General features: G+C 49.8%; 1 protein-coding gene across 3 annotated transcripts in view, besides 6 other annotated features; it reads right to left on the bottom strand.

The window, feature by feature from the left end:
• The window catches only part of NTN1 (netrin 1), a 240,914-nt gene that overhangs the window by 209,963 nt on the left and 11,837 nt on the right, over positions 1–19,114 (bottom strand). Inside the window, exons 1-2 of one of the 3 annotated variants that reach the window (NM_004822.3) lie at positions 12,453–12,528; positions 10,647–11,727 (exon numbers count right to left, since the gene is read on the bottom strand). In NM_004822.3, the coding sequence (NP_004813.2) occupies positions 10,647–11,664 (1,018 nt within the window). In that variant the 5' untranslated portion in view covers positions 11,665–11,727; positions 12,453–12,528. Of the gene's footprint in view, positions 1–10,646; positions 11,728–12,167; positions 12,318–12,452; positions 12,529–19,114 lie in introns of those variants that run through there. The other 2 variants (XM_006721595.4, XM_047437096.1) reach the window with 2 other exon arrangements.
• Positions 821–1,320: an enhancer, noted in NCBI's record as "H3K4me1 hESC enhancer chr17:8936035-8936534 (GRCh37/hg19 assembly coordinates)". NCBI's record gives its function as "activates a minimal SCP1, AML or CMV promoter by ChIP-STARR-seq in naive H9 embryonic stem cells {active_cell/tissue: H9 hESC(naive)}" and the evidence as "EXISTENCE:reporter gene assay evidence [ECO:0000049][PMID:30033119]".
• Positions 12,277–13,066: a silencer, noted in NCBI's record as "silent region_8196". NCBI's record gives its function as "represses an Ori minimal core promoter by ATAC-STARR-seq in GM12878 lymphoblastoid cells {active_cell/tissue: GM12878}" and the evidence as "EXISTENCE:reporter gene assay evidence [ECO:0000049][PMID:35858748]".
• Positions 12,277–13,130: a biological region, named in NCBI's record as "H3K4me1 hESC enhancer GRCh37_chr17:8924225-8924768".
• Positions 12,587–13,130: an enhancer, noted in NCBI's record as "H3K4me1 hESC enhancer chr17:8924225-8924768 (GRCh37/hg19 assembly coordinates)". NCBI's record gives its function as "activates a minimal SCP1, AML or CMV promoter by ChIP-STARR-seq in naive H9 embryonic stem cells {active_cell/tissue: H9 hESC(naive)}" and the evidence as "EXISTENCE:reporter gene assay evidence [ECO:0000049][PMID:30033119]".
• Positions 13,117–13,166: a silencer, noted in NCBI's record as "silent region_8195". NCBI's record gives its function as "represses an Ori minimal core promoter by ATAC-STARR-seq in GM12878 lymphoblastoid cells {active_cell/tissue: GM12878}" and the evidence as "EXISTENCE:reporter gene assay evidence [ECO:0000049][PMID:35858748]".
• Positions 16,932–16,981: an enhancer, noted in NCBI's record as "active region_11722". NCBI's record gives its function as "activates an Ori minimal core promoter by ATAC-STARR-seq in GM12878 lymphoblastoid cells {active_cell/tissue: GM12878}" and the evidence as "EXISTENCE:reporter gene assay evidence [ECO:0000049][PMID:35858748]".

The raw sequence follows: 19,114 nt of genomic DNA, 5'->3' as shown, positions 1-19,114 counted from the left end.
AATACATGTATCTTGGTATTTCACACTTTAGTAGATAGAATGTTGTGCTCTCTGATCTTGACTTAAAACTAAGTAACTAAGTACTTTCTTTCTTTTCTTTTTCTTTTTTTTTTTTTTTTTGAGACAGAGTTTCGCTCTTGTTGCCCAGGCTGGAATGCAATGGTGTGATCTCTGCTCACTGCAACCTCCGCCTCCCAGATTCAAGTAATTCTCCTGCCTCAGCCTCCCAAGTAGCTGGGATTACAGGCACGTGCCACCACGCCCGGCTAATTTTGTATTTTTAGTAGAGACGGGGTTTCTCCATGTTGGTCTGGCTGGTCTCGAACTCCCAACCTCAGGTGATCCGCCTGCCTCGGCCTCCCGAAGTGCTGGGATTACAGGCGTGAGCCACCATGCCCAGCCAACTAAGTACTTTCTTTTTTATTTTTGTAGAGACGGCAGTCTCGCTATGCTGCCCAGTCTGATCTCAAACTCCCAGGCTCAAGCAATCCTCCCGTCTCAGCCTCCCAAAGTGCTGGGATTACTGGTGTGAGCTGCTGTGCCTGGCCAGAACTAAGTACTTTCTACAGATCAGGAAAATCGCAACTTGATTCTCACTTACATATGCCTCACTTCTTCTGCAGACATCTTCTATTAAAACAAACAAACAAACAAACAACCTCTCTACCCCTGGTTCAAACAATAAACTGAGGTAAGAAATAGGACTGTTCAGCCCCATTCTTCTCTAGCATTTCTGGGTACCAGGATGGCAAGTCTGCCCAAAAACATGGTTTAAAAAGGATTGGGCCGGGCACGGTGGCTCACACCTATAATCCCAGCACTTTTGGAGGCCAAGGAGGGTGGATCACCTAAGGTCAGGAGTTCGAGACGAGCCTGGCCAACATGGTGAAACCCCATCTCTACTAAAAATATAAAAACTAGCTGGGCGTGATGGTGGGTGCCTGTAATCCCAGCTACTCAGGAGGCTGAGACAGAAGAATCACTTGAACCCAGGAAACAGAGGTTGCAGTGAGCTGACACGGTGCCATTGCACTCCAGCCTCGATGACAGAGTGAGATTCTGTCAAAAAAAAAAAAAAAAGGATTGATTTCTGTGGATTGGAGCAAGAAGCAGTTTCCTTCCTCATGGCAGCTCAGAAGGCCAAGCACTTTCTCACCGTGAATTCTCTCCCGGTTCTGAGCCATAGAGTGAAACAGGGCTGGGTGTCGGAATAAAGAGTTGGCTGAGATCGACCTGCCCACCTCTGAGGTCTGGCTTCGGGGAGAGGAAAACGAGCTGGCCAAAGGGCTGAGGGTAGGGGCTGGGGGGGCCGTGTCCAACAGCTCTGCCCTGGGGCCGCCCAACCCAAAGGTACTTTCACGTTTCAGATGCCAAATTCTGTATCTGTAAACACAATGTGTTTTCTTTTTCATGCTGGGATTGGAACTATTCTTGTTCGGCACTTTCTGCACCAGCCCAAACGTAAGCAGAGCACTGAGGGCAGTGGTTTGTGACGGAGATGAGTCCTCGTCCCTCAATACCACACAGATGTGGTTCTGAGTGGAAGGAACGACCTTCACGTGGGAGAAGCCCCAGGAAGCCTCAGGCACCAGGGTCCTGGCCCAGGTTGGGGCATAATTTCTTTTGAGTGTAGGGACAGTGATAAGCTTTTGTTTCAAAATCCAAGGCAGTTCTGGAGGACCTGCCCAGAAACGTCGGGGCGGACATTCCTTGGGGGACCACTCTTTTCAGGGAACCATGGTCTCTCAAATTCTTGGCATGGGAGAAAACAAATACACTACAACAGAACCAATGCAGCAGGCAAATGTGATGTGGACTAAAATCCAATCCTTTCGTGGTACAGGAGCCAAATCCAAAATGCTCTTCCTCTCAAGACCCTCGGCCCCTCCCTGCACCCCGGACACTCAGCAAAGTGCCTCACTGGGGGCGCCTATCCCTGTTCAGGGTTAGTGCAAGTGGACACGTCTGCACCTTCTCACGTGCACAGCCTCCTTGATGGAAACATATTTCACCTGCAGGGAGGGCATCCACTTTACATTTCTTTTCTTTTTTTTTTTTATCTTCTTTTTTTGTTTGTTTTTGAGACACCATCTCTATCACCCAGGCTGGAGTGCAGTGGCACGATCTCGACTCATTGCAATCTCGGCCTCCCGGGTTCAAGAGATTCTCCTGCCTCAACCTCTGAGTAGTTAGGATTACAGGTGTGGGCCACCATGCCAGGCTAGTTTTTTTTGTTTGTTTGTTTTTGTATTTTTAGTAGAGATGAGGTTTCACCATGTTGGCCAGGCTGGTCTCGAACTCCCGACCTCAAATAATCTGCCTGCCTCAACCTCCCAAAGTGCTAGGATTACAGGTGTGAGCCACCGCACCTGGTCTACTTTACATTTCTTTACATGCCCAGACCAAACAGAGCCACCTGAACAGTAAATGCTCCAGAAATGTCCATGTATACAAAGTACTTCTCTGTCTGCAGGTTGGGGAAGGGGAAGGTCTTCAGAAGGGGACCAAAAATGGCAGATAGTTTTCATCTCATGGGCTAATTCTGCCTAAGGAGTTATATTGAGGAGTCTAATATTATAAGATCATTTCTCGACTTAGGAGGAAAGCATGCTGCCGTTGATTGCCAATGTCTGCCCTGGTTTTAGAATGCGGGAGTGGTGGTACATTTATTTGCTGGGTACTCACCACGGCCGCCCCAAAGCAGAAACAGACGAAATCAGAAGCCCTGACAATGGCAATCAAGCAGGCAGGAAGTGTCCCTCACTTGGGGACTTCAAATATGGAATGCAGCACAGCATACAGGCCCTCAGGAAACTCAGAGATCTACCTCATTTCCTTACATAGGACTCAGTTATTTAAAGCCAGCCCCTTTAGAGGTCCCTGTAGTCCTACAGATTGTCTCAATTAAGTGTGGAGTCTCTGGGATGTGTGAAAATTGGACACAACAACCAATAATCTCTCATCTTCAGGCAGAAAAAGACACGGGAAAAATCTAGAAAATCTAGCAATAGCACCAGCCAGGAGGGGGCACAGATGGGTTCCCAACTAAAATATGACCACGTGTGCAGCGAGCTGAGACCTTACACAGGCCAATTCCTGAATCCTCCAGGGAGACAGACTTCTAGCACCTTCCTCAGCAAGGCACTAGCTGAGTTGAGAAGTGAACTGGAGTGTTACTTTCTGCTTTTAAAGTTCTCACCCAACAAATTTACTTGAACCCTTTAAATAATCCGGAGGTCTACCACACTTACAGAACCATCTTTCTTTTCTTTCTTTTTTTTTTCTTTTCTTTTTTTTCTGAGTCTTGCTCTGTCACCCAGGCTGGAGTGCAGTGGCGTGATCTTGGCTCACTGCAACCTCTGCCTCTCGGGTTCAAGCAATTCTCCTGCCTCAGCCTCCCAAGTAGCTGGGATTACAGGCACGTGCCACCACGCCTGACTAATTTTTGTATTTTTAGTAGAGAAGGGGTTTCACTGTGTTGGCCAGACTGGTTTCGAACTCCTGACCTCGTGATCCCCCTGCCTCAGCCTCCCAAAGTGCTGGGATTACAGGCGTGAGCCACTGCGTCCAGCCACAGAATCATCTTTCTTCTAGGTCTTCTTCACATGCACCAATGCACTGCAGTGTGAATTCATTTCACCCTAACTGTAGTTAGTACACTAATCCCAATGACAGAAGGTCCAGGGATTGCTGGGGGTGGTCCTGACACAGGCAAGAGCGGAGCACAGCTTTCCATTCCTTGGCGGTACTCCTGAACCATAGGTACCCCTTTCTCCTCGGAGAGTATCTTCCTTTGTGCTCTGAGTGCCAGCAGCTGCCTCTGATAGAACTGTGCTTGGGGCAGGAACTTAAGCTCTGGGAGAAAAAGAAAAGGGTCTGATGGGAGACATTCTGTATCTCATCAATCACATGGCCACAGTCCCTTCTCTCCATCAGAGGGGAGAACTGGCACAAAATAATGTATTTGGGGCTGAATACACACCTAGCCAAGGCCTTTTGATGTGGGGGGAAATTCACATAAATTATGTAACTTTTTCTTTTTTTTTTGAGACGGAGTTTCGCTCTGTTGCCAGGCTAGAGTGCAGTGGGGCAATCTCAGCTCATCACAACCTCCGAGTCCCTGGTTCAAGCAATTCTCCTGCCTCGGCCTCCCAAGTAGCTGGGATTACAGGCACACGCCACCACGCCCAGCTAATTTTTGTATTTTTAGTAGACACGGGGTTTCACCATGTTGGCCAGGATGGTCTCCATCTCCTGACCTCATGATCTGCCCGCCTCAACCTCCCAAAGTGCTGGGATTACAGGCGTGAGCCACCGCGCCCGGCCAATGATATAACTTTTAAAACGCAAATTAAAATCTACTTCTTAGTTTACAATAGAAATCCATTTTTGGAGTAAGGAGACAGGAATGCAATACTGAGCTCACTAAGTTGTGCTACGCAAGTCAAACCTCATGAGAGCAGATATCTTTGAGGTGAACGTCTGTATCTACAGGACTGGCCCAGGCAGCTCACTTCTTTCAAGTACTATTCAGAACAACCGTCCCTCCGAGTTGGCTATAATAGGACACGGCTTTTATGTGATCAGTCTTCCAAGCAAACGCTCCTGATACCCCCTGCTCTCTCTGCATGCAACAGTGTCACAGAATAAGCCGAGACGTGCCCTGCAGACTTATCCACACTTAGTCCCGTTTGTGTAAAAGCTGCCCTTTGATGGCCAGGACATCTGTCTTTGAAAAGCTTCCGTTCCTTGTGGCAATCTGATTAATTGAAACAAAGCACATATAAAGCACCTAGGACAATGCCTGGCACTCAATAGGAGTTTGTGGTCTGTCTTCAGGACGCAACCCCCCAACCACCATGGACGGACATTTTAAACTCCACAGCTCCCAGGCCACCCAGACCAACACCATGCCTTCTGAGCCTGCAGAGACCACAAGGGCTTCCAGACAACAGGCAAAATGCTGTGGGCCTGCTCTACAAGTATTAGGCTTAAGTCTTGAGCATTTCAAAAGCCCTCCGAGACCTCCCGTCTCCCTATAATGAAAGGCACTACAGAAACCCAAGGTATGATTAACACCTTCTGAAAGGATGAAAAAAAAAATATTGGCTCACAAAATATCCGTATTTGTGCATCCACAGATAAGGCTGTTTTATAATCCAGTTCCCTAGAGAGCCATTTATTTTGGTAAAGGCAGTGTGCATTGCAGACACCGTAGAAGCCATCAAGATAACATGAGTAACAATCCAGTGGACATTTGAAGTGTAAACATGAAAGTCTATTAAGAATACAATGTTGGTTTAATCCCAAGACAAAAAATTTACTTAATGAAAAGCACAACTCATCTCAAGAAGGAAATATCGACACCAGCTGTGAGCAGAAAACGAGGGGATTCCTTCCAGGGAACATCTGAATTTCAACCCACTGCCTTTCCAATATTTACTCTGGACATAAAGTCTCAAATAGTTTTCTGAGGATCTCATTTTTCTACAGGAGGAGGAGGTCAGAGAGAAAACTGGGCAGGGCTAATAGAGAGCACGGCAGAGCCTGGAAACACGCAGACCCACCCCAGAAGGTTTCCCCTGACGAACCTGCCTCCCTGCTCTGGGTGGAGCAGGGAGCGGCCTCCTTGCCTCGAGGTTCCTGATCACCAGGTGCTAATGAGGACCCCAGCAGAGAACCTCACTCCAGCTGCCATGGGGCCAGTAGAGATGAATGACAGCCCTGTGCTGCTGACTCATGTCAACTGTACCTAGCGGCACCACACCAGTGGCCGGGACATACCATCCCCCATCCACCTCCTCTCTTTGTCAACAATAGTTTCAGCCACTTTCTGGATTTTTTCAATACGTTCCAGTGAAGCAAAGGGATAGTGAACACTAGGGTGAAAAGAGAAGGCCTTCTTTTTTTTTGGAGACAGAGTCTCACTCTGTCACTAGGGCTGGAGTACAGTGGCGTGATCTCGGCTCACTGCAACCTCCGCCTCCCAGGTTCAAGCGATTCTCCTGCCTCAGCCTCCCTAGTAGCTAGGATTACCGGCACCCGCCACTATGCCCAGCTAATTTTTTGTATCTTTAGTAGAGACGGGGTTTCACGATGTTGGCCAGGCTGGAGGAAGGCCTTCTTAAAGAGGGGTTCTGACTACCCACAGCTCAGCTTCGCCACCTTTGAAAGAGACTACAGGCCCTGAAATCAAGAAAGACTTGGCCAAGAAAGCAACACCTGTGGATGCCAAGAACCCCCAGGAAAGTATCTAAACCCCCTTAATTCATAGTCCCAACTCCCAGCTCCCAGCAGGCCTGATGGCTAAGATAAAAGAAAACTTCTTATATACAACTTCATGTTAAGTATGTATGAATATAATATAATAAAATATAATAATATGATGTAAAATACATAATGCAACACAACCAGGGAACCACGCCCAGTTCTAGCAAGAAGCAATAGGTTGTTCCAGCCTTTCTCCTACACATGGATATATCACTGCCATTCATTCATTCATCCATTCTTCCATCCACCCATCCATTCATTCTATGGAAAAGCAGCACAGTGGATACAACAAAACAAAGCACAAACGTCAGGCTGGAGTCCCAGCTTCACCACCCAGTAGCTATGTGACTTAGGGTAAACCATCTAATGTCTCTAGGCCATGGTTTCCTCATCTCTAAAAGAAGTACAATTACAGTCCCTATTATTAGCGTAGTCACGGTGATTAAATGTCTAAATTAATGTGAGCGCTTGGCAAAGAGTAAGTCCTCCAGGGTTAATCATCATAATGACAATAATCATAATAATTATTATGACTATTAAAAACATTCACTCATCTATAGCTATGTGCCAGGCTCTGGACTAAGCAGCAAATAATTTCAGCTTTCTGATTTTTGCAAGAATCTTTAGTGGGGCATTGGATTTCTCATGGCAACACCTCCAATATAACCTCCCTCTCTTGCCAGGGATGAATGAGGGTGGACCCAAGCACCAGAGCTATTGACAGCATGAGGACATCCCCCGACCCCCAACCCACAGCCACATTTAAACAATCACAAGCATTATGTTGCAGGTACCTATGACCATTAAGAGGCCAACCCAGCACGGTGCTCGTCTTGCAGAGACACCTTTTGTGTGGGTTTTGGGTTACAGCTGAGCAATGCAAAGCCATAGAGTGAGTCGCAAAACAAGTTTTCATAAGCTCGACCTGTCACAAGCCAGGCAGGGGCTCATGCTGACAACTCCACAGTAAGATTAAACAGCATGCTTCGTCATGCTAAATACTAGATACTAACACAGCTCCGACGTCAGGGGGACAATGATTAAAACTGATGTCGATAATTTATGAAACACAATATGGTCTTCAGATGCTCTTTTGAAAAAAGGGAAGGGCGGGGAGGGGGGAAGGGGCCTAGCAACCCAGGTGGTTTACAACTGTTCATGCATTTTGCCTTGAATGTACACACAGCCCCACCATGCATGGGTACTTCTTTACACAATGAATGTGAATGCACATGTGTATAAAAGCATGTGAACACTGCTGATACATATGGGCGGAAGAAAGTATTTAGTTATTCCACTGAGAGCTGTCAAGGCCGTAACATTATACATCGTCTTGTCTTTCATATTGTTTTGAGGGTTGTTTGTTCCCCCCCCCCGGAAGAAATCCAAAACTGCATTTAAAGTATAACTGGGCTTTATGAACGTTCACATTTTATTCCATAGAAAGCTTGACCTTGAAACAACACCGAAAAGAAAACTGGACCAAAGAAAACATATAGGATATGTGCATTTCTTAGTCATCTATAAGGACCATGGCCCTATGTCGAAGGACTGTTCAGTCAAATGATAATATTGGTAAATTGGTAAATTTTAGGGGGTTTTCTTTGCGGGAGGGTGGGGCACAGGGTTAACCTAGGGAAGGGTACCATTTCAATTTATTATAAATCACATATCATTATTTTATAAAAGCAAAGACCAAACAGCACAGTAATAGGCTCATTGTTATTAAGACTGATTATGGGAATTAAAAAATATATACTTCTTGACTTTGCCATAGTTGTAAATACTCTGGGTAGCTTGACTTTATATGTCAACAGCGTGAAATTCGCAAGAAGAGATTATGTTGGGAGGAAAATCTGAGCCTCTGATAGTCCAAAGTTACTTTTGAAGGATTTATTAATGCTTTTTCCTAGCACAGTGCCCTTTAGTATCTCAGAACACCTGTCAAATACTAATTCATTCACATATCTCCACTACAGGGCCTTTTCATAAAAAGCTCAACCTTTAATTGTAAATCACCCCTAAATTGTCCTTGCTGTCTTTCTCTTTTACAGAATGATGGAAAAATCACTAAGACTTCAATTAAGACTTTATGGGAACTTCAATCTGATGTTCCCAGCTATATCTACAAGGTATCAGAACATCTATTCAAAAAGGAAACTATAAATAACTTTAACATAGTTGAATTGGCTTTGCTTTTATGAGATGACTGAATAATTGGCAAGATTTAAAGATACTTTAACTACTGGGAATTAAAATAACTTCAGTAAAACCCAGAAAAATATTGTTAGCCAATCATTTGTCATGTAGATTATGTACTTATTAAGCCTAATTAAACTTTTTGAACAAAAACGGTTACTAATTACATTCGTTAATATGTTGATTGCTCAATTTAGCCAATAAAAAAAAAGGTCAATCCAATTTGTGTGCATAGTTAGTGCTTTGGTCAAGAGACAAAATCCCAAACTATAGAGATTATTTCAAGTGCATGACCATCATTATAACAAACGCAGGTTACGTGTCCACATCCAAACTGACGGCAAGACCTGGGGGTGGGTGGTGAATCTGAACAATACCAACGCTAAGGCAAATCTTCAAGCCAGAGAAATTTCACCACCACATCAAGTTTATTCGCCTAAATGTATTCACTTGCATTTGTCCAATTAGACCCTGATGGTGACAAGACAAAGTTATCTTTCATATGCACATACAAACTAAAACTGATAGCAAAACCCTGGGAATCCCTTTAAATGTCAATAAAGGGCTTTTACGCACAAAGGGAAGAAAAGAAAAGAGGAAGGAGGGGGAAAAGAAGAGATGGGAAAAACCAACATTTCCGAGGGAACTGAGCAGATCAAAGGAATTTTATTCTAGAAGACTACTAAGTCGGAGTGTAACTACACTCTCTCTCTCTCTGCGAAATCTTGAAAAGTGTCTTCAGACTGGAAACTAGTTCTGATCCTTAAAAGAAAGGGGACAAACAATTATGTCTGCAAGAGCGGGACACGAGCGTAAAAATGGAGGCCTCCCTTGCAACAGGAGGCGGGAGGCCCGGCGTCTTCAGACCAGGACGCCTGACTGGGCCTCTGCGGCGATCCGGCCCTCCAAGACATGTTTTCCATTCCCTTGCTCAAAACTCTGCATCCACAGTCATGAGGCACAAACTATTCGACAACAACATGACACAATTAATCAGAACCAGACCTCAAAACGTGTGTTTGTGGGGACCAGCAAACTTTGAAATGTGCCTAAGAGGGGCAAAGCAATTGAAGAGCCTCACACTGGCTGTTTGAGATGGGGAGATGGAGAGGAAAAATCTGTACGTTCATAAAGGATGCACACCAAATGGGACATTTACAGACTAAATAATTTTCGCTCAAATAAATGTGGGCTTTGGAGCTTTACTTCCCATACTGAAAAAGTAAGGTGTAGTCTTGCTACCTCCCCTCACCCTTTTTTTCTTTTTATGGGGAGAAACTGATTTCTGAGAGCTTCTGCAGCAGCAAAGTCGTCCAATTCAGAAGCAGAACGTATCCTTTTTTAGCTTCATTTCTGACCCAGCCGTATTCACCCGGTTTTGTCAGATTTCTCTTTCAGGAAATGAAACCCTATTTAAAAAGTGAGAAGCTGGACCCTTAGTTAATTCAAAACTGTTTAATTTCACCAAAGCCTGAAGCTAATAAAAAAAATCTGGTATACTTTTTTAGACCAGAATTGAATTCGTTTAAAATAATTACTGAACGCTCCGTTGTAATCAGCAGATAGTAATTAATTGAAATCACATCATTCTTCTTTTGCTAACACAAACACGCTGTTCAAAAGAGAGACAAAAATAGTTTCAAATCATGAAAAGACAAATGGAGGGCAGGAGTGATACTCGTCGGGTACCGAACTGACCCCAAACTACAAACAGTTCTTTGCCATCTCCCAAGGGATTTGTAGGTGTGGAGTTGGAACTTCCCAGGAACTGGGCCGGGGTCCCCAACCGCGAGCCCAGCTGCAGCCTTGGGAAAGGGGGGTGGGTGCAGGTGAATCCCAGCGTCCAACCCAACGAGGGGGAAGGCAATGAATGTTTGCGTTTGGATCCAGGGTTAGCGGAGACCTATCTGCAAATGTTCTGCCAAACCCCCTCCCGGGAACATTTCTCCTGCTGCTTCTTGGCTTCGCAGAGAGCACTGGGCGCAAATTCGGGCGTCCACCACGAGCGCCACGCGAGCGAGTGGACCTGCTCTGAGCCCTCCCGGGTCCCGGGCATCGGCGAACGCGCCTCCCGCCGTTCCCTCGACCCGCGCTCCTATGAACTCGCCGCTGCGAGGCCCAGCAGCTCCCGCCCGCGGCCCCACCCGCCGCCGGCTCCGCCGCCGCACCCCACTCACCCACGCACTCGTTGGCTTCGCGGGCTGTGGCGCGCTGCCAGGGCCGGTCGTAGTGGAAGGGCTTGCAGCGGTCGCACTCCGGGCCGGCCGTGTTGTGCCTGCAGTCGCACACCAGGCTGTCGTCGCGGTCGCGCACGCAGCGGGCCGCGTGGCCGTTGCACTTGCACCGGCCGCCCACCTGCAGGTCGGACACCGCGTAGAAGTACGAGTCGCGCGCCAGCTCCGAGTCGTCCTCGTTCTCGTCGCCGAACGTGTGCAGGCGGCTGAAGGCCACGCGGATGTCTGTGGCCGTGACCCAGTCCTGCAGCACGGGCGAGTTGTCGAAGTCGTGCGCCGAGGGCCGCCCGTCCAGCGTGCTGAAGGCGATGAGGCCGCCCGAGAGCGGGCGCATGTCGGTGTGCGAGTCGGTGCACACGGCCTCCTGCTCGTTCTGCTTGGTGATGGGCGCGCGGTGCGGCCGGTTGTACATCTTGCGGCACTGCGTGGAGTAGAACTGGAAGGGCACCCACGTGCGCCCGTAGTCCATGGACTTGTAGATGGCCATGGACTCGGGCCGCGGCGAGCAGAACTGCAGGCTCACGTAGGTCACTTCGAACTTCTTGCCGAGGGACAGTGTGAGCGTGACGTTGTGCGGGAACTGCAGGTAGTTCTCGGACTGCCAGCACGTCAGGTTGTGCGGGTTGTTGAGGTCGGTGAGGAAGGCGGGCGGGTGCGCCTTCTTGGGGTCGGACGCGTTGCAGAGGTGGCACGAGCGCAGCCGCTCCTCGCCGCGCTCGCTCACCACGCAGTAGCGCGCCGGGGGCCGGCCGCAGGTGCTGGACACGCGCACGTCCTTGCCGAAGGCCGCATTGACAAAGTCCGGGATGCAGCGGCGCGGGTGGCCGTTCTCGTCCGAGCAGGGATCGGGCTGCGCCGCCTGGCCCGCGAACATGCTGAGCCCGGGCCCGCCGCGCACCGCGCCCACCAGGCACGCCACCGCCGCCAGCGCCGCCAGCGCCTCCCACACTGCGCGCATCATGCTGCGTCCAGCTTGCCCCGGCCCTGCCGCGCCGAGGATCTGTCCGCCTGCCGCAGAAGGCGCCTGCGGAGAGAAGGGAGCTGCGCTCAGCCAGCCCGCCCCGCGCCCTCCAGCTCTCGGCGGGGTGGCGAGCGGAGATGCGGGAGAACGCCCGGCTTCCTGGGCACCCACCCCGCAGCCGACTGCCCGCCTCTCTCCCCCAAAGTCCCGCGGGCGGCGAAGCCGGGGCCCTCCAAGTCCGCACCGCTCGCGCCCCTTCTTCCCCGCCCGGCGGGAGAACGCTCTGCTTCCCCGCCACCGCCGCCCCCACGCCGCCCGAGGGGCATGCCTGAGCCGGTCTCCCCGTCCGCGACCAGCCCCCCTCGCACCCCAAGTTTCGGGCGCAGGAGAGCTGGGGGACCCCGACTCTGCACGGCCCGCGCCCCTTCGTCTCGCAGCCCGGGGTCCCTCTCAGATGCCCCCCGATCGCGTCCCCGCCGGAAAGTCCGCGTTCGGGACTTTACCTCTGGAGGGGGCAAAAGAGAAAGAAAAGTTTGCCTGGCCCCTCCGGGGAGCCCGCGCGCCGGTCGCCGGAGAGCCTCTCGCTCGCTGCTAGCAGGCGCGTCCCGCCTCAGCGCGGGCTTGCCAGCTCCATGCCCGGCGCGGCCGCCGCTGCCCCAGCCCCAGCCCCGGTCCCGGCCCCGCCGCCGCCTCTCTCGCCCGAGTGACTACGCGGCCGCCCGGCTCCCGCCGCTCCCGCCGAGCTCGGAGTGCTGCCCTGCCCGCGCCCGGGGCGCACACACACTCACGCTGGCCGGCGCGCACTCACACACACGCGCGCTCGCCCCCGAAGGCTCCGCCGCCGCCGCCACTCGCGCTGGGAGTGAGGGGCGGAGGGGAGCGCGGGGGCGGGGGGCGGGGCCGCCGGGCGGGGCGCCGGCCAATAACGTCCGCGAGCTGCCGCCAGCTCCGAGCAAAGTTTTCACCCCGGGAAAGAAGAAAGTTAAAGGGAACCGGCCCGGACGCCCGAGAGGGAGAGCACAGGCGGGTGGGAACCCGGGAGCCCGAGAAAGAACAGCAGAGACAAAGAGAAAGCGAGGAGAGCACCCGGGGAAACCCCGGAGAGGGGGCTGGGCCGGGCCAGGCGCGCACCCCGTGGGGGAGGAGGGGCCGCCGGGGACTGTCAGCCTCGCCCGCGCCCCGCGCCGCCCGGAGAGCCTCACGCCCGGGGGAGCGCGCGGGCGGGGGAAGGGGGCCACTTTCTCCCTCCCGGTCCCAGCCAAACACATCTGTGTTTGTTTTCTTTGCTGCGCGGAGGTCGGGCCTTCCTCTAACCCAGCCTGATGGCCCCCGGTGGCACCGCGCACAGGGCTGTGCCCCTGTGGGCACGCAGCCCGGGAGCGTGAGGAAGAGGAGGAGGATGTGACCTCTGCCTGCTCTCCATTTTTGCCCGAAGCCCCCGGGGTCCGGCGAGGAGGGGCTGCTCGCCCGCACTCCCACGGATATCACCGTGCGTGAGCCTGTCTGTCGGGAACGCGGCTTCGTTCTAGCCAAGGGAGCAGTGGTGGGCAGGAGGCTGAAGGGGTAGGAAGCTGGCAGCACCTGGACGCTGGCCACCGCCCCTCCAAGACGGGCCTGCCTGGTCTCAGGCATGGGGACAGCCCAGCCCTCCCCAGATCCCCTGAGGCAGGCGTATCGGTACTTCCTCAACCGCATTTTTAAGGGTGCAAAGCCCTGTAATAGCTCATGGGACCTCCACAGCAGCTTTGCTGTTGTATTAACTCCATTTTGCAGATGAGGAAACTGAGGGTCCCGGGAGCTGAAGAAACTCGCACAAGATCAACCCCCAAGTAAACATCAAAAACAGGAAGAGAAGCCTGGGCTCCTTCCACTGCAGGGCATTCGTCAAATGCATAACCTTGCCGAATGATGGTGTCATGGGGCATCTGCGGGGCCACCCAGCCCCTCCTTGCCTCATTCTCCATCGCCCCAATAAAAAGACTGAGGACAGTGACAGCATCCTTTGGTCATCTTGCAACAGCAGCCAGAGAGCTCTGGGAAAGGAATACACTGGGCCGAGAGTTTGGAACGGAATCTCTGCTCGTTTATTTGTTACTTGTAGATGTGTGGTCCAGTAATAGACCCGGATGAAAAGCCCCAGGTCCTGGTTCCGGCCCAAGGGCTGCCTTGCTGCATTAGCTCCATTAAGTGCCTCAGTTTGTCTTATTGGCATTTTCATAAACCCTGAGAATCTAAGAAGGGGCCTCGGGGCTCGTCTGGCCCAGCTCCGTCTCCTTGGAAGAAGGCCTTCCCCAGCCTCCCAGAGAGACGGCCACCCAAGCCAGCTCTTCCAGGGATGGGAGCTCACCACAGCTCAAGAAAATAAATCCATTCCATTGCAGGACAGCCTGGATTCATCTTCTTACCCCGGGGTAGCAATTTAGCTGTGCCTTCTTGTGCCGTTTACCACACTCTGCACTGTTTATTTATGCCTTACCTCACCTTGTGGCAGAAAGGATTTCAGGTAACTTACAAGGGTACATAAAATATGACACAATAACAAATTAAAAGTGAGGTCAAAGGAAATAAATGAAATGGTTAACCATGGTGACCTGTGAAATCGCAATGGTATACTGAAAGGCAGCATAGCTCTTAGGAGGAAACGCTTCGGAGCCAGGGTACCTGGGTTCAAATTCTGCCTCTGCTGTGTGACTATGGAAAGTCTATGCCTTGGTTTCCTCCATCTGTACAAGGGAGATAATACTTTCTACCCCACTGGGTTGTGAGCATCACGTGAGTTGACACATTTGAATATTATAGCTGATGGGATATAGACATACATATTGCAGGTCTGTAACACATATAAATAGGCTTTCTCATGTATGCAAATGTAAATATGCATAAAACCAGGCACATAGTACATGCATATAGAAATGTTAGCTGTTAGTATGAGGTCGCTTGATCTATACAGAAATTTTAAATCATTTAGAGAACACTTAATTACAGGGAAAGATGTTCATGACATATTATAATATGAAAAAAGCAAATTAAAAACACACAGTATAATGTCATTTTAATTTTTTAAAAAGTATGCATAAAAAGACAACACAGTTAATAGTGGTTATCTCGGAATAATGAGATTACAGGTGATTTTTATTTATCTTTGCTTGTATGCTCTCAGTTTTGCACAGTAAAATATGAAGTAAGAGAACAAAGAAAAGCTAAGAAGGGAGACAAAGTCGAGAGGAGGATACAGGTCCAATGCACCCTGGAGTTCCAACCTCTACACCTCTTCTGAGTGGGCCACAAATTTGTCCCTAAGCTTTCCTGCAGCTAAAATGAGGAGACCATGTTCATTACACAATTCCCAGTGTCCATGAGATAAAAACAGACCTACTGCTCAAGGGAATTACAACTATTCTTGGTACTAAAATCAGATAGGAATTTCTTGTGGGGGCGTGGCCCAGAAAGGGAACACAGTATGGGGTAATGAGCAAACGTCCCTGACAACATCCCCAAAACAGTCACAACAGTGAGCTCGGTTGGACAGTTTCTGTGATCCCCCTGAATGTAAGCTGATGGCATCGCATCAAAACCCAAGTCAGGAAAAGACATTCCAGCAAAGAGGAATGGAAAAGAAGCAAATTGGGGTGCTCAGCTGACTGGGGTACCTTTTGGAGCATCTACAAGACTGGATTGAGAAGTGCTTTCCAAGCCTTCCTCCTGAATGTTGTTTCTGTCCACAGAGCCTTTTTTTTTTTTTTTTTTTTTAAGATGGAGTCTTGCCCTATTGCCCAGGCTGGAGTGCAATGGCGCATTCTCAACCTCTGCCTCCCGGGTTCAAGCGATTCTCCTGCCTCAGCCTCCCAAGTAGCTGGGATTACAGGTACCCACCACCACACCTGGCTAATTTTTTTGTATTTTTAGTAGAGACGGGGTTTCACCATGTTGGCCAGACTGGTCTCAAACTCCTGACCTCAAGTGATCTGCCCGCCTCGGCCTCCCAAAGTGCTGGGATTACAGGAGTGAGCCACCGCGCCCAGCCTATGTCCACAGAGCTTTTGATGGCCCTTGCATGGCAGTAAGTTTGAAATGGCTCTTGGTAGAGTGTGGCTTTTCTACATTGCCAGCTGAGCTTAGGCCAGGGGTCTTCAGGAGAGGATGAGCGGGGTCACCTTCCAGTTTTATTGTGGTCACTTAGGTCTACGCTTATCATCTTTAGTAGTTCCTGGTGAGCAGGACTGTCTTACTCACCTTGTATCCAGGAGGTCTAGAACCTCCTGTAATACGGTGGAACTCCTCTACGTCCATTCCAAACCCCCCTCTCTGTTAAGTCTGCAGGTGGCCCAAACCCTACGCTACACAGCAGCCCAGATCAAGGTTCTCTGCCTCTTCAGATTCTTGAAACCAGTCCTCTATCATCCCTCAGTTTTATCTCTTCTGGGCAAAATGTTCCCAGTTATCTTAATGATTTCCCATAGGACATTGTTTTCTGACCACTCTGCAGCCTCTTCCATCCCTTCTAATTCATCAGTGTCCTTTCCTAACGCAGCCTGTCTGTTGAGGGGACAAATGAAAAAAACAGATGTCCAAGTGTCGTGAGAAGTTCTTAAAGTGGCGGTGATAAATACACACCCGTGAAGGCATGTCAGGCTCTAAGCAGCGGGATCCACAGAGCAAACTGGAGTTCAAAACGCAACAGTGCAGATTTTGGGTGAGAAAGCAAATCACCAGGTGTTTCTGCAAGGAATGCGTTGAGAGGCGGAAACACCGTTCCTGGCACACTGTCTTACCTGTGAAGCCAGACGGATCACCCTAGGAGGGGGAGAATGCGGCAGTTTCAAGAAAACTTTTAAGTAGCCAGAGGAGGAGGAGGAAAACCAGGGGACTCGGGTGTTATAGAAACCAATGGGTAAGAGCGTTGCAAGGAAGGAGGGGTGCTGAGCAGTGTTGAGTCACATGCCTTAAAGGTCAAGATAAGATCTGAAACAAGTCCTTTGGATCAAACTACAAGGAAGTCATTGGTGACCTTGACTAGTGGTTGCAGGGAGTGGTAGGGACAGAAGCCAGGCTGTCTGGGGTTGTGGAGTGAACGGGAGGTGAGAAAGTGGAAATAGCAGGTGTAGACAACTTTCAAGAAAGTGTGAATATAAGTGGCAGGAAAGATAGAGGGTCACAGCAGGAAGGTGACATAGGATTGAGGGAAGGTTGGGATTTTTTATTGTTGTTTGTAAGATAAGGCTATTTGACCATGCCTAAATGTTGATAGGAACTGGAGCCAGCAGGAGGAGAGAGGTGGAAGACAGATAAAACTATGCTTGTAAAACTGGTGGTCAGGTGGTCTCCAAGTGTCTCTTGTTTCAATGAAATAGGAAGTGACACCATCTGCTGAGGATGGGGGAGGAGCTGGGAGCACTGGAGGCTTGAGGTCATTAGAGAGAAGAGGATAATGCTTGCTGGGCAGAATTAAAGGGCCTATTGAAGTTTGTGACTATCTATGAGAAAGAATGGCAGCCAGCAAGGCCATGAGACACACATGCCCTCTTCCCCAGCAGCGCCCAGCAGCCTTTGGATAGACCTAGAGAAAGAGACAGTTGGATTAATCTCAAGTTGAGAGTGTTTTCCAGGAGGTGGGACAGAAGGAAAGGGGAGTGGGTGGCTGATATGATGGGCCAGGGCGACAATGCCAAAGAAAGAAGGAAAACAGGACAGGATGGAAGAGGAAACAGAGAGGCCAGGGGCTAGAGCTGTGCTGTTCAATATGGTAGCCAGTCACCACATGTAGCTACTTCAATTTCAACTTGAATTAATTAAAAATGAGTAACATGGAGAGCTTAGTTGCCTAGTTGCCCCTAATTTGGACAGCACCAATAAAGAAAAATTCCCTTATCACAGGAAATTCTGTTGGATAGCTAAAGGATTCAAGAAAAGAGAAGACTATGAGGTGGGGAATAACTGAGGAGGTTGTGGTCCAAAACTAGAGGATTCCAGAGGTGGAACAGCTCTGGGGGATGACAAGGCCTTCCGAGGACAATAAGAGGGGGACTTCTGCTGTGAGGCAGAATGGAGGGTGATTAGAGACGAGACGGCCACGGTGCTGGACGGGCTGTCCACCTGGGCTCTAAAGACCTTTGGAACCAGCATCAGAGTTTGGGGCAGAGACGAAGACTGACCAGTGCTGGTGTCTTCAAAGAAAGAAAAGAGTGAAATTGACTGGGAGGTCATTCTAAGGATGAGATGTAGAAGGTGGGACAGCCGTGTGGTTCTGGCCTTAAAGGAACAGGAGTTTTGTGGGGGTTTTTTTGTTTTTGCTTTTTTTTTTAGATAAATTTTGCTCTTGTCGCCCAGGCTGGAGTGCAATGGCACTATCTCGGCTCACTGCAACCTCCGCCTCCTGGGTTCAAGCAATTCTCCTGCCTCAGCCTCCCAAGTAGCTGGGATTACAGGCGCCCACCACCATGCCTGGCTAATTTTTTTTGTATTTTTAGTAGAGACAGGGTTTCATTATGTTGGCCAGGCTGGTCTCGAGCTTCTGACCTCAGGTGATTCGCCCGCCTTGGCCTCCCAAAGTGCTGGGATTACAGGTGTGAGCCACCACGCTCGGCCCGGAGTTTTGTTTTGTTTTGTTGTTGTTTTAATGAAGAGGGAAGGAGCATTGGGAATGGAGGAGGACAACAGCGCCCCACTCCTGGGTCTTAGGGATGTGTGGTTTGGAAGAAGGACAGCACCTCTGAGAAGGACTGCAGTGCAACTGGGATGAGCATGAGGGTGGGAGGAGCAATCAGTGAGGAGGACGAGGATACAGGGGAGGGTACACTCCAGGAACGGGGGCACCAGATGGCACAGGCTAATGTTTGTGAGGAGGGAGGACAAGAAGAGAACAAAGGCTTAGGAGAAAAGGGGTGGCCGGGGGTGCCTTTGTCTTGGGTGTGACCAAGGGTTTTCCTTTTAATTTTTTAATTGTATTTATTATTATTATTATTTGAGACAGAGTCTCACTCTGATGCCCAGGCTGGAGTGCAGTGGCACGATCTTGGCTCATTGCAGCCTCTGCCTCCTGGGTTCAAGCAATTCTCCTGCCTCAGCCTCCCAAGTAGCTGGGATGACAGGCACCCGCCACCACACCCATCTAATATTTATATTTTTAGTAGAGATGGGGTTTCACCATATTGGCCAGGTTGGTCTTGAACTCCGGACCTCAAGTGATCCACCTGCCTCGGCCTCCCAAAGTGCTAGGATTACAGGCATGAGCCACCGTGCCTGGCTGAGTTTTCCTTTTTAAATCAAGCATTATGTGTAACATTTACTGTGTGCCAAGCATCTACTAAGCACTTTGATATTCCTTAGTTCACAATCTTCATAAACACCATGTAAGATAGGTATATTATTGTGTCCATTTTACTGGAGGAGGAAACTGAGACACAGAGAAATAATTTGCTGAAGATCACATCACTGGTAGGTAGAGAAGCAG

The sequence above is a fragment of the Homo sapiens genome, chromosome 17 (assembly GCF_000001405.40).
Source record: "Homo sapiens chromosome 17, GRCh38.p14 Primary Assembly".
NCBI classification, from domain to species: domain Eukaryota; kingdom Metazoa; phylum Chordata; class Mammalia; order Primates; family Hominidae; genus Homo; species Homo sapiens.
The sequence above is the reverse complement of the archived record's forward strand: the minus strand, read 5'-3'. Positions and strand labels throughout refer to the sequence as shown.